General features: G+C 37.0%; 1 long non-coding RNA gene across 2 annotated transcripts in view, besides 1 other annotated feature; it reads right to left on the reverse strand.

The window, feature by feature from the left end:
* The window catches only part of LOC107986263 (uncharacterized), a 50,786-nt gene that overhangs the window by 31,119 nt on the left and 5,590 nt on the right, over positions 1-14,077 (reverse strand). For both annotated transcript variants that reach the window (XR_001741604.2, XR_002959783.1), the window contains exon 2: positions 7,400-7,521. This is a non-coding gene — a long non-coding RNA (uncharacterized LOC107986263). The remainder of the gene's footprint in view (positions 1-7,399; positions 7,522-14,077) is intronic.
* Positions 10,989-11,503: an enhancer, noted in NCBI's record as "NANOG hESC enhancer chr4:19012316-19012830 (GRCh37/hg19 assembly coordinates)". NCBI's record gives its function as "activates a minimal SCP1, AML or CMV promoter by ChIP-STARR-seq in naive H9 embryonic stem cells {active_cell/tissue: H9 hESC(naive)}" and the evidence as "EXISTENCE:reporter gene assay evidence [ECO:0000049][PMID:30033119]".

The raw sequence follows: 14,077 nt of genomic DNA on the forward strand, positions 1-14,077 counted from the left end.
TATGAAGGGTCATGAAGCTCAATTGTGCATGTGCATGTTTGTCCTTTCATAAATATTCATGACTCCTCTTATAGCTTATTGAATATGTACATTTGGTGACCCTGCATAAATTCCTGTTTCCTTTGCCCCTCCCTTGCTGGAAACTATACTGCTGGGCCTTTCAGAATAACCACGCTGCAGGCTGCAACGCTTTATGTGAAATAAAACCCTCATTTCCAAATTTATAAACCTCATCATTCTTCAGTTGACAATATGTATCTTATGCCTAGAGTATAATAGGTGACAGGCTATTAAGTCATATGGCTGAAGAATTTACTTGCTCTGAAACACTGGGCATGTAAAATGAGAACAATGATAGTATCTTCCATGCAAGATAGTTGTAATGGTTAAATGAAATAATCAATGAAAAAGAATTCATAAGCATTTATTTTCCATTATTTTTATTTTAATTTTTAAATTATTTAATATTTTTATTTTTTATAATTTTAATAAAACAAAAAAGTATTTTACTTTTACTAATATTTATATATATTTGGAGATATATTTTTGAATACATATTTATTTAGGTTCAAAATGTAAGAGGCCTCTGTTAAAACATATTTATAAATTATTTTATTGAAATTATCTGTCTTTATTTTTCTTTTCTTTCTTTCTTTTTTTTGAGACGGAGTCTTTTTTTTTTTGGCTCTGTTGCCAGGCTGGAGCGCAGTAGCTCCATCTCGGCCACTGCATCCTCCGTCTCCCATGTTCAAGCAATTCTCCTGCCTCAAGCTCCCAAGTAGCTGGGACCACAGGCGGGCACCACCATGCTCAGCTAATTTTTGTATTTTTAGTAGAGATGGGGTTTCACCATACTGGTAAGAATGGTCTTGATCTCTTGACCTCATGATCCACCCACCTCGGCCTCCACTTTCGGATTACACTTTGGGATTACAGGCATGAGCCACTGTGCCCGGCCTATTTTTATTTTCTAATCTGAAAGTAAGTGAGAGAGTATAGAGATAGCTTATATAAACTAAACTATCTTTAAGGTATGAATTTCTTCCAGTTCAATCATGGTATTTTCAACATTTTTTTTTCATATTTATATGCTATGTAATTTATAAGACATATTTATGACTTACAGTTTCATTATGGAGTAGGGAACTCATTATTGTATGAAGCATAGCCAGGTCCATTTGTTTACATATTAACTATGTCTGCTTTCACATTACAATGCCAAAGTTTGGTAGTTAAAAAAGGCAACTGTCCACAAGACCTAAAATATTTACTTTCTTTGCCTTCACAGGACATATGTTTGCCTATCCTGTATTTAGGCTTTTGGAGACATTAAATATTTAGCATTTTCTGTGTGACATATTGTATTTTTTATCTTTCTTAACTAGGATAGCCTGCTTTAGTTCTGGGGTAAAATTTGTAGGCTTAGATGAAGCCTGGAATGGTAAGAGACAAAGTAGAGGTTCACAGAAAGGCAGTTAGAATAAAAAGGCCACCATGTTCATAACTATTTCTCACAAAGCTCCAGGTAGCAATGGCCTCACTTATGCAATATGTGGGACTAATATATGTATCAGGAAAGGGGTAGCTGGTCTTTTTCGTTCAGATAATCTTCTCAGGAATATAAGGCCTCTCAACATATTTTAGAAAGAGGTATTTATCCTGTTAGAGGGATTTCATAGTGTTGTTTTTCAAGACAAGTTGAGAGAAGGGGAACCATTGATAGAATTTTTAAAATTAATTTTAAATTTCATAGAAATTTAAGGATAATTTTAAGTTATAAGCTACAATGCTATAAAAATTGACAAAAAATGATGAACAGGCCAATCAAACTACTGTTTTGGGCTCCCCCACAAAAAAAATTGAAGATTTTCTGAGATAGGTTCCCATTTTGATGATGTTTTTCTCTTTCTACCAAAATGCTGATTTTGAAATATCACCAGTCTTGTATCTCCATTTATTTAAAGAGGCTTTGAAAGATTTTTTTTAAATGTCAAGAAAGAGTTGATTAGAAATAACTAATTTACAAAATAAATATATAGAGCATAGCAATTTCAAGATACTCTGGGACATGACATTCAATTAAAGAAACATAAATAATCAAATAACCACAGAGTCAAGCAACATGAACTTAAAGAACGAAACATAATATTTACTAGAGAAAAAAAATGCTTCTTGTAACCTAGTTGTTTAAAATCTGTATGCAAACTCCAAGCACTTATTATCTCAGATCATTTGGGCACTTAATCATATACTATCGGGGGAACCAGCCCCCAGTATTTCACCGTAGGTCCTTTCTATTTTCCCTAAGTGTCGGCCAGTCTGAGAAATAAAGAGAAAGTGTACAAAGAGAGAAATTTTACAGCTGGGCCTCTGGGGGTGACATCACATATTGGCAGATTCCATGATGCCCCTTGAGCCACAAAACCAGCAAGTTTTCATTAGGGATTTCAAAAGGGGAGGGAGGTACGAACAGGAAGTAAGTCACAAAGATCACATGCTACAAAGGGCAATAAAAGATCACAAGGGCAGAGCAAGATCACAAGGTGAGGGTGAAATTAGAATTACTGATGAGGTTCCATGTCCCACTGGGAATGCATTGTCATTGATAAGCATCTTAACAGGAAACAGTGTTCGAGAGCAGATAACCGTTCTGACTAGAATTCACCAGGCTGGAATTTCCTAATCCTAGCAAGCCTTAGGGCACTGCAGAAGACCAGGGTGTATTTCATCCCTTATGTTCAACTGCATAAGGCAGACACTCCCAGAGCGGCCTTCCATAGGCCTACCCCTGGGAATGCATTCCTTTCCCAGGTTTATTCCTTGCTGGGAAAAGAATTCAGTGATATTTCTCCTGTTTGCTTTCTGCAATAAGAAAAGTATGACTCTGTTCTGCCCGGCCCCGCAGGCGGTCAGACCTTATGGTTATCTCCCTTGTTCCCTGAAAATCACTGTTATCCTGTCCCTTTTTAGGGTGCCCAGATTTCATATTGTTCAAACACACATGTTTTTACAAACAATTTGTACAGATAATGCAATCATCACAGGGTCCTGAGGCAACATACATCCTCAGTTTAAGAAGATGATGGGATTAAGAGATTAAAGTAAAGACAGGCATAGGAAATTATAAGAGTATTGATTGAGGAAGTGGTAAATGTCCATGAAATCTTCACAATTTATGTTCAGAGATTGCAGTAAAGACAGGCGTAAGAAATTATAAAAGTATTAATTTGGGGAACAAATAAATGTCCATGAAATCTTCACAATTTATGTTCTTCCACCACGGCTTCAGCCAGTCCCTCCTTTCGGGGTCCCTGCCTTCCCACAACAATATCCAGTCTTATTGCATTATTGATCTGCCATGGTCCCTGCAGTCTAACTCCTGGATCATTAATTATTGATGAGTGAATATCTTGCTTTAAGAGCTAGATTCAAATTCCTTAAGACAAGAGATCAAGATCTTTATATGCACAAATTCTCTACTCATGAAATGTAATTGAACATGAAATAGAAACTAGGAGACCTGATATTTTTCCGGATACTCGTTATAGTCCTTTGTACTTGTTTAAGTCATATAAGCTGTCTGTGCTGGTTTACTTGTGCAACAGAGATATGTCAATGAGAAATCAAGGTTCCTTCCTTCATGGAGTTTACATTCTAGTGGAGAAGTTAGACAATATATGATTATACAAATAGACAACACTTTCATAAGTAAGGGTAAAGAGCTATGGAAAACAAACAGAAACAATAGAAACAGAAGCAATAGTGTGATAACTGTAGTGATAATGGGTTAGAGAGGGCAACTCCAGAATGAGTGTTCAAAGGTTGATATCCAGTTAATGAAAAGACCCCAGCCTCAAGGAAAGGAAAGAAAAGCATATTTGAAATTCAATAAGAAATAAGTATGAAGGTCCTGATGCAGAAACCAGCTCTACCTGCTCCAGTACAGGCCCATATTTGTCTGTGGCCTGAGCTCAGTTAGCAAGGGCAGAAAGCAACTGTTGGACATGAAGATGGAGAGGTGCTCAGGAGGGCACTGGAAGGTTTAAAACCAGAAAGTAAAGTGGTCCTCCAGTTAGGAAGCCATTGTTAAGATCTTGGTTAGAAATAAAGGTGGCTTGAAAGTCCGAGATTTTTGCAGGTTTTGGGTAAAGTATGTGGACGTAGGATATGTTTTAGAAAAAGAGCTTTGTAAATCTTACCACAATGTGAAAATTTAATGTATTCTGATTATAGTTACTCATTAAATATTTTAAATAAATTCATCTTAGAAATTACTTTCAACTTTTTACTCTCTTTTTAATATTAACTCACCTCCAAACACATTTCTATACTACTGTAGCTGTCTTTGTTTCCTTTGTCCTTTTTCAATACAACAAACTAGATTCTGATAAAATAATACCCGTGTGCATAGTTGCTACTTGCTAAATATTTGCTATATTAATGACTGCATAAATAAAATATGGCAAGCTTGTTACAGGGCTGATGGGTCAAGAAAATATTTGAATGAATGAAACATAGATTTAAAGGGTTTATTGCTACCAGTTAAAGTCAGTCAACAGTCTCTTCATTTCAGGATGAGAATTTTATAATGTCACTGACCCTGGGATATGGGTTTACATGAAACTTCTTGGCAGCATTAGTTTAGTCTGGTAGCACAAAATAATGTATATAAATGGGCCTTGGAAAGAACAAAGCTTTGTGTCAATAATTGTAAGGATTGCTCCCATTTATTTTTCTGACCCCTATGTGTGTCAGATCTCATGCTAGGCATTTTTACGTATATTGTCTTGTTTAATTCTCACAAAAATCATGAAGGATAAATGTTATCATTTTATTTTAAAATTGAGGGAATTATTACTCAGTAACGTTATTTAACGTCTGGATGAAGATGTATCTTTCAAACCCCACTCTCAATTATTCTATTGCATCAAGGATTTAGAATTGATTAAGAAATAAATATTAACTCACAAATATCTAGCAAATTATTAATTTCTTTGAAGAGTATCCTAGAAATTATGCTACATATGTTCCTAAAATAATCACAGAATTATAGATTGTAGAGATTTAGAGCTAGATCCATAAGGAACCAGATGCTTCTTCATATGCAATTTCTTGCCTGACTTTCACATGCTCAAGGTCACAGAAAAGCAAAGCTGGGATTCAAATCCAATTTGGTGTTCTTCAGACCATAGCATACTGGCTCAGAATTTGACATTTTGTTCATCTCTATGTTTATAAAAAGGCAAGATAAAAGACCCAGAGAAATCTATGAAAGGGCTCATTTTGCCATTGGTGAAAAAAGAAATTGTGATTTACTTGAAAGAAAAAGATGACATAATAAAAGTAACAAATAGCTTTAGCTTTAAAATATAGTATGCCCTAAAAAATGCCTGAAAATAATGAAACAAGAGTTCTTAACACCATCATAAGAGTGTACTGCTCCAATGTAGAGAAATATAGAGGTGAAATGGAAGCTGTGAAATGTCAAAGGTAAACTTGGCCAATGTCAGCAGTGTGCGTTGCAGAAACCTCTGGAATGCATGACAGAGAAAGCAGGAGGATGTAGTAAACAACAAAAAGATCACTGCATTGAGCATTCCACAGATTTCTCAGCTGAAGAGGAATTTTCATTTCTCTGATGCTTTCAGCTCAACATGGGCCCCAAATGACAGATATGCAGTATGGTTCTCTTACCACCCCACCCCCACACTGTGACCTCTGAGTGGAAAGAGACACCTACAGACATAAGCCTGGGGAAAGCAGATCTTTATGCTCAGGGACAATCTCTCTTGCATACACACTGGAAATGCTTTCTCTGATCCCACCCATAACAACAAACTCAGAATGCCCTCCACCCACACCAAATTCTTCAAAAATGACTAATTTCTATGCCATGTAATTAAGACAACCGATTTCTCAGAAAAAAAATGTGGCTGCATTGAGCATCAATTACAGTTTTCTTTAAATGAGGATTTTTTCTTATCTCTGCTGGATTTGCAGAGTCCTAGTTTTGTAAAGAGTTTCTTTCTTTCTTTTTTTTTTTTTTGAGACGGAGTCTCGCTCTGTCACCCAGGCTGGAGCGCAGTGGCGCGATCTTGGCTCACTGCAACCTCCCGGGTTCATGCCATTCTCCTGCCTCAGCCTCCCAAGTAGCTGGGACTACAGGTGCCCGCCACCACGCTTGGCTAACTTTTTGTATTTTTAGTAGAGATGGGGTTTCACCATGTTAGCCAGGATGGTCTGGATCTCCTGACCTGATGATCTGCCCGCCTCAGCCTCCCAAAGTGCAGGGATTATAGGTGTGAGCCACTGTGCCTGGCCTGTAAAGGGTTTCAAGTGAATTCAGAGTAGACGTTCTGGATATTAATCATACCCATGATGATACACAAATATGAGAAACAAGGTCATTTATATAGGCTATAATTTATTATGGTCCACAATGTTAGGAGTAAGTTAGAACCCTACGTTGAAATATGTTTTTGGGGTTTCCCGTGCAATCTGTCACATTGATGGTTAAAAGTGAACTGCAGTGCCTAGGCTGAAAGTGGGATAGGGTGTTATTGGGAGTTGTACCTATTAATGTTTGAGAGATTTGATTTAAAAAATCACATCAGTTTACATGTTTACACCAACTTAGTTGCTTCCCCATTGTATTGTTATCCAGTCACAGCTCAATGTTTACCTTGTCCCATTAACTTAGAGGACTTGGAGAACCTTTACTTTCTTGTGGGGAAAAAAATGTAAAGGTGTTTTTAAATAAGTTAATGTAGCAGACAAAAAATTATAGAAATAAGAGCCAAGAGAAAATAAGAAAGATCCAAGATTGTTGCTTTTAAAGGGAGAGATATCTGAATCACATTGAGGAGCTGCCCCCAAAGTGTTCTATGCTTCTAATCTATGGCAGAACAAATCCTATTATTTTCCTATGTAGCAGCCATCTCATGGTAATTCAGTAATTTTTTATTTAATCTATTTCCTTGATACTATACTTTACAGAATATGCTTCATCTGTGTTGTTTTCTATCTGAATCCATCACCTAGTAAAGCCCTTAGCAAATGGAAGCTATTTAGCTCATATCTGTTGAACGAATAAATGCATATCCCTGTACTTCACTCTCCCAATGGTATATCCTAATATTGGGTTTGGATGGATAAACTCATATGTGTTTTCAATGATCGGGGCATTTTATGCAAGGTCCTCTAATCTGTGGAGAAGACAGATCAACAAATAATCTTGTATGTTTTGGTGTGAATATCCCTCAATATCGACATGGTATCCACAGGTGGATTTTGAGAAATGATTAGGTCATAGGGACTCTGCCCTCTGAACAGATTAGTGCTTTATAAAAGGGCTGGAGGAAACTAGTCTAGGCCTCTTTTCGGTCTTATGTTCTTTTACCTTGTGAGGACCCAGTGTCCTTTCCATCCAGAGTATGCAGTAACAAGGCTACATCTTGGGGACAGACAGCAACTCTCATCAGACATCAAATCTGCTGGCAACTTGATCTTTGGCTTTCCAACCTTAAGAAATATAAAAAATAAATTTTTATTATTCATAAATTACTCAGTCTGTGGTATTTTGTTGTAGCAACACAAATGGAGGAAGACACTGTGTTTAACACTATAGCCACTAGAGAAAAGACACAGAGACTTCTGGGAACAGAGAAGAGCGCCTGGTTCAGCTCAGCAGATTGGCGTCTTTTGAGATTTCTTCCACCTTTCCTCCCACCTCTCATTATATTTCTTTGCTAATGCTTGGTATAAGTCTATATCCAATGCATAATTTCCTGGCCCACCCATGGGTCGTAAGTGTCTGTGCCCTTCCTCCACCTCCCTAAAAACGCAAGTCTCAGGTACAAACACTATTAGTTCTCCTTTTTGACAGGATTTCTGTTCCTTCTGTCCCATATCAAAGACTGGTCTCCCCTAGACCTCATTAGTGCCTCAACCTAAACTACCTACTTGGTTAGTGCTTTAATGCATAATGCTCCACTCAATAAGTGCTTAGTGAAAATATATTGTTCAGAACACTGACTTCTGAGCCTATAGCTGCTTAGATTTCTGGTTGATTGAGACATTCCTAAAAGCCAAATTCCCACATTCTAACTTTTGGAATTTTAAGCTCAACTCTATCAAAAAGTGACCATAGGCCTAACAATTTTGGGTCGTAAAGATTTTTATATGATTTTACATTAAACTTTACACAAATTTGATTGAATCCTTTGAATAATACTAGTATCTCTCTCAAAAAAGATGATTTGGAAAAACAAAATCTAAGTAAAGTTTGCCACATACATCTCTTCAGCCCTGCAAAAGCAAAGCAAGTGCTTTGTCAGTATTTCCATAGAACTTGCAAATAGAACACCCTTCACTAAGAATAACAGAGATATCATCTCACACCAGTTAGAATGGCAATCATTAAAAAGTCAGGAAACAACAGGTGCTGGAGAGGATGTGGAGAAATAGGAACACTTTTACACTGTTGGTGGGACTGTAAACTAGTTCAACCATTGTGGAAGTCAGTGTGGCGATTCCTCAGGGATCTAGAACTAGAAATACCATTTGACCCAGCCATCCCATTACTGGGTATATACCCAAAGGACTATAAATCATGCTGCTATAAAGACACATGCACACGTATGTTTATTGTGGCATTATTCACGATAGCAAAGACTTGGAACCAACCCAAATGTCCAACAATGATAGACTGGATTAAGAAAATGTGGCACATATACACCATGGAATACTATGCAGCCATAAAAAATGATGAGTTCATGTCCTTTGTAGGGACATGGATGAAATTGGAAATCATCATTCTCAGTAAACTATCGCAAGAACAAAAAACCAAACACTGCATATTCTCACTCATAGGTGGGAATTGAACAATGAGAACATATGGACACAGGAAGGGGAACATCACACTCTGGGGACTGTTGTGGGGTGGGGGGAGGGGGGAGGGATAGCATTGGGAGATATACCTAATGCTAGACGACGAGTTAGTGGGTGCAGCACACCAGCATGGCACATATATACATATGTAACTAACCTGCAAAATGTGCACATGTACCCTAAAACTTAAAGTATAATAATAAAAGAAAAAAAACTTAAAAAAAAAAAAAGAAAAGAAAAGCAGATAACTTGCATGAAATGAGCCTTCTGGTACTTTTTTTATCATAAAAATCTCTCGAACTCCTTTCATCTCACCTTTAAATTGGCTGTTATGATTATCCCAATTTTACAGATGAGTAAACTAAGTTTAACAGAATTTTTACAATTTTCCCATGGTCACATCTGCTGCTAAGCAGCAAAGCAGGAAATGTGACCGCAGTTCTGACTCTCCCCAAAGCTTCTCTCAGAGAAATAGAATCAAGTGGTAAAGAACATTTGGGATTTAAATCTAGACTTGTAACCACCCAATGGATTTATTTTGCCTGCTGCCCAGATAGAAGCAATTTATCAAGACAGGGTAATCGCAATAGAGATAGAGTTTAATTTTTGCAGAGCCAATTGAATGGATGACCAGAGTTTTATTATTACTCAAATCAGTCTCCCCTAAAATTCAGAGGCTAGGTTTATTCAAGGATAGTTTGGTGGGCCAGAGAATGGTGCTACTGATTTGTGGGGCATACAATGACAGAGATATGGAAAATAGTCTGCTTCTGGGTGGGGCCACAGGACCAGTTGGCAAGTCTGGGTGGAGCTCTCCTCATCAGAAACGTGAAAACATGAAAAGACATCTCAAAAGGCCAATCCTAGGTCTTACAATAGTGCTATTTTCTTCAGGGGGTTAAAGACAAGACAGGGGTTGTTTAGATCAGATCGCTTTCACTGCCATAATTTTCTCACTGTTACAATTTTTGCAAAGGCGGTTTCAGTCTGGCTAGAGTTCCACTCCCATCTCTTCTGTATGACCCTGAGCATATTATGAAACTTCCTTGAGCACAGTTTTATTATAAATCAAGTGGGAATAAAAATAATTAAAATAGTTGTTGAATATGTTTAATGGGCTTAATGGGAGAACCAACGGGTTCTCCTTGCCCACTACCTAGCAGAGCCAATTATCAAGACAGGGGAATTGCAATAGAGGAAGAGTTTAATTCATGCAGAGCTGGGCTGGCTGTATGGGAGACTAGAGTTTTATTATTACTCAAATCAGTCTCCGTGAAAACTTGGAGACTAGAGTTTTCAAGGATAATTTGGTGGGTAGGGGTTGAAGAGTGGGGAGTACTGATTGGTCATGTCTGAGATGAAATCATAGAGAGTCAAAGTTATCTTTTTGTAGAGTCCATTCCTGGGTGGAGGCCACAAAACCAGATGAGCCAGTTTACACATCTGGGTGGTGCCAACTAATCCATCAAGTGCAGGGCCTGCAAAATATCTCAAGCGCTTAGGTTTTACAATAGTGATGTTATCCCTAGGAGCAATTTAGGGAGGGTGAGAATCTTGCAGCCTCCAGCTGCATGACTCCTAAACCATAATTTCTAAACTTGCGGCTAATTTTGTAGTCCTACAAAGGCAATGTAGTCCCCAGGAAGGAAGGGAGTTTGGGGAAAGGACTGTTATCATCTTTGTTTCAAAGTTAAACTATAAACTAAGTTCCTCCCAAAGTTTATTTGGTTTATGCCCAGGAATGAACAAGGACAGCTTGGAGATTAGAAAAAAGATGGAATCAGTTAGGTCAGACCTCTTTCAGTGTTATAATTTCCTCAGTTATAATTTTTGCAAAGGCAGTTTTAGAGATATGGGCGTTCACAATTTTTTTAACCAATTTGATGGAATTGTTTTCAAAAAGCTTTCTATAGGGTGCAAAAGTAATAAGAATAGTGCTTTGTCTCAGCAACTGCCTTGCATCATAATGTTAAACTCCCAGACTACAATCCCCACGTCCTATATCTATGTTGAAGAAAGATATATTTTAAATTATCTAGGTTTCTCATACTCCTTGGTTTATGTATTTTAAAATCCATTGGTGAGTTCTGATTGCAAGTAGGTTATTTTGAGGGTCCTATGGAACCATCACTGTGGAGCTGCCATGGCTGACAGGGACGACCTGGTGACCCGTTCGATGGTGGGATTTTAAGGAGTGACAGCTTGAGATATAGCACATGTGCTTGGAGAGATTTCCAGGGACAGCAGACTGCATTATTGGCCTTACTGTTTCACAATGCCAAGGCATTATAGGGACATGACTGTTAACAACAGAGTGTGCCATTGTTTTGCTGGTATTTTTTTCTCAAGCCTTTCTGAGTGACAGTCCCTGGGGAGAGTGAATTATCACCCTTAACTTGTAACTTAACTGCTCCTGTTGTCATTCTGCATAATTGCTGTCACCCAGGTAAAACTAAGTTGTTTTTCTCCCTGGTAAATTCTCCCACACTCAGCGTGGAGCCCTTCAGGCAAGGCAGGCAGTAGGGAACCTGGGCAGATAATGTGGCTATTTAAAGGCATCCTGGAAAGGGAGAATCTTTAAAAGGCTTTTTCTCTAAAGACTAAGGCCATGTACAGTGAAGATACTAGTTTAAATAACTGAAGTTGCAATTCACTTCACAATTACAAGCATAGGGATTATAATAGTATGAACCATATTGCAGTTGTGAAAATTAAATTAGTTGATACATGAAAAGTGTGTGGCACAAAAGATCAGTGTGTTCACTGTGTGTTCAGTGTGTGGCACAAAAGATCTCAGCAAGGGTTGGATTTTCTTACTTTGTAATATTATGTGCTTATTCATTACAACCATCTTTCAAGGTAGTAATTATGATTCTCATTTTTTCAGATAAGAAAACTGAACTTTTTTGGAGCTGGAATTTAGAAGTAAGTAGGTCTAAGTCTAATGCAGATGGGCTTAACTTCCAAAAAAGCTCTCTAGATTCAGCAAGTAACTAGATTCACCAAGGAAAAGCTCTCTAGATTTTCTTTCTTCTTTTTTCTTTTTTTTCTTTTTGCCAAGTAAGATGTGAGAAGAGCTTGTCACTCAGGGGAAATTATTATAGAATATAGGGTTTACCAAATAGCCCCTTTATTTGAATAAATTATTTTATTTTTTCAAAAACTGTATTTTCATAAAACTAACATAACTAGCTAAATACAATAACCAATTTTGAAAAACAACTGCTTCAATAAATTATTTGCTTTCATGAAGAGCCTGAGGCTGATAATAGATATTGATAATAATGCTTACCACAAGAGTAATAGTAAATACAATTACAATAATGATGGTGATGTTGATAATAATAATAAAATAATACTGTATACCATTTATTGACCCTTTACTATAAGCCAAGCATTGTTCTAAGAACTTGCCATCAATATCTCATTTAATTCTCATTAGGCAGGTGCTATTATTATCATTTATTTATATATTATAAAATTGAAACTCAGAAAGATGAAGTAAAATACTGGAAGTCACAGTTGCTACATGGATGAGACAGGATTTGATTTCAGGCTATCAGGCATCAGAATTGTGTTTTTTATATAGCTAGAAAATGACACATTAGGACTCGAACCCAACACTCCCCTTCTTCCATGTTCATTCTCTTTTCTTTTTGTTCAAATGGGTGCAGAGCGTGGATGCCCTTTGACCAACATTTAGATTTTCTATAAAACTAGGTAGCACACACTCATAAGATTTGAAAAAGCAAAATTTACTTAGACTATAGTATGGTGCATACTGGCAATGCCCAAATAAATAAATTGACAATGCCCAAATAAATAAATCAAGAGTAAATATAATATAAAAATTGAGTTCTCTGACTGCATAGATGATTCTTAATAAGGTCTGCAAGAGTGGGAGAGGTGGCACAAGAATATGGGTAGGGATGGAGGCTACAGCCTGGGAAGCAAAGGAAGGATCTTGGGAGATGTACGTTAAATGAGCACTTTCATAGGAGTATGGTTTTCATTATATACAAACTACAGAAAGTAAAACTCAGCAAAATCTTTGCTAGTGCGTATAGGTCATGGGTTAAAAAGAGAGGATGAACCACTTCTTAAAGATGTATCTACTTTTTATCAACACATACTTTAGGTTCAGACTGACCTATGCTTAAACACTGATTACACTTTTGAGTAAGTGAAATCAGCTGAGTTTCAGTTTGATCATCTTTAAAAGAGAGATTTTGATACTTTTCTTGCAGACATTGTTCCTAGCACATGGTAAAAACCCTATAACCAAAACCTATTATTACTATTATTATCTATTTTAATAAAAATTTAAAGTATTATTCGTTTAATGACAAAAACACCAGTAGTTTTGATAAATGCATATTCCCATTAATTTTATTATTGATACTTCATAATCTATTCAATATCTCTTTCTCTAAGTACTAATAATTGCACTCATTTAAAGTTACCCACTTTTACCTCTATTTTCTTTATTTTTTTGTCTCTCTTTTCTCTATTTTTTTTCCTAGGATCTCTCTGCTTCCCTTTTTCAAACCAGGTTATCTCTTCAGTTAACACTTCATGACTTTTCCTCTTTAAGGTACTCAAAACAAGAAATCCTAATTTTCACAGCAGATGTAAGTATTTTGTTTCAAAAATAAGCAAACAAACACAAACAGAAATTTTAACTCCTTATTATGCTCACTGGGAGAAAGTAGATATTGTAATCTGGACATTTCTTGATGCAACTCCTCACAAGCAATCTTAAAATGTACAAAGGTTTGGCTTCATATTGATGGGCTTTCAAAAATAATGTGTAGACCAGCCTGACCCTCCAGAGGTGCAGAGTTGCAAATTCCAGCTACATTATTTGAAGGGTTAAAGTCATTGTGAAGAGACTCAGAACAATACACCCCAGTGATCAGTTGGTGGTGACACTGCCACTTTCTCATGGTCTGGACCGTAGGCACCAGGGTCAGACATTTTGCAATTGCCTTGACGGTTGCAGGGAGGAGTTATGATATTTAACCTAGGACACCAGCCAACAATTATTTATCTGTCAAAACTTTTCAAATATAATTCAGTGTTACTGGGTCCTGCTGAGCCTGAGACTGCCAACCTGTCTGAGTTCCATAAGAAAGATCTTCAGATAATTTCTGTAAAGGCAGACAAGGGCAGCCCCATCACCAAAACT

Source organism: Homo sapiens, chromosome 4, assembly GCF_000001405.40.
Source record: "Homo sapiens chromosome 4, GRCh38.p14 Primary Assembly".
Taxonomy (NCBI): Eukaryota; Metazoa; Chordata; class Mammalia; order Primates; family Hominidae; genus Homo; species Homo sapiens.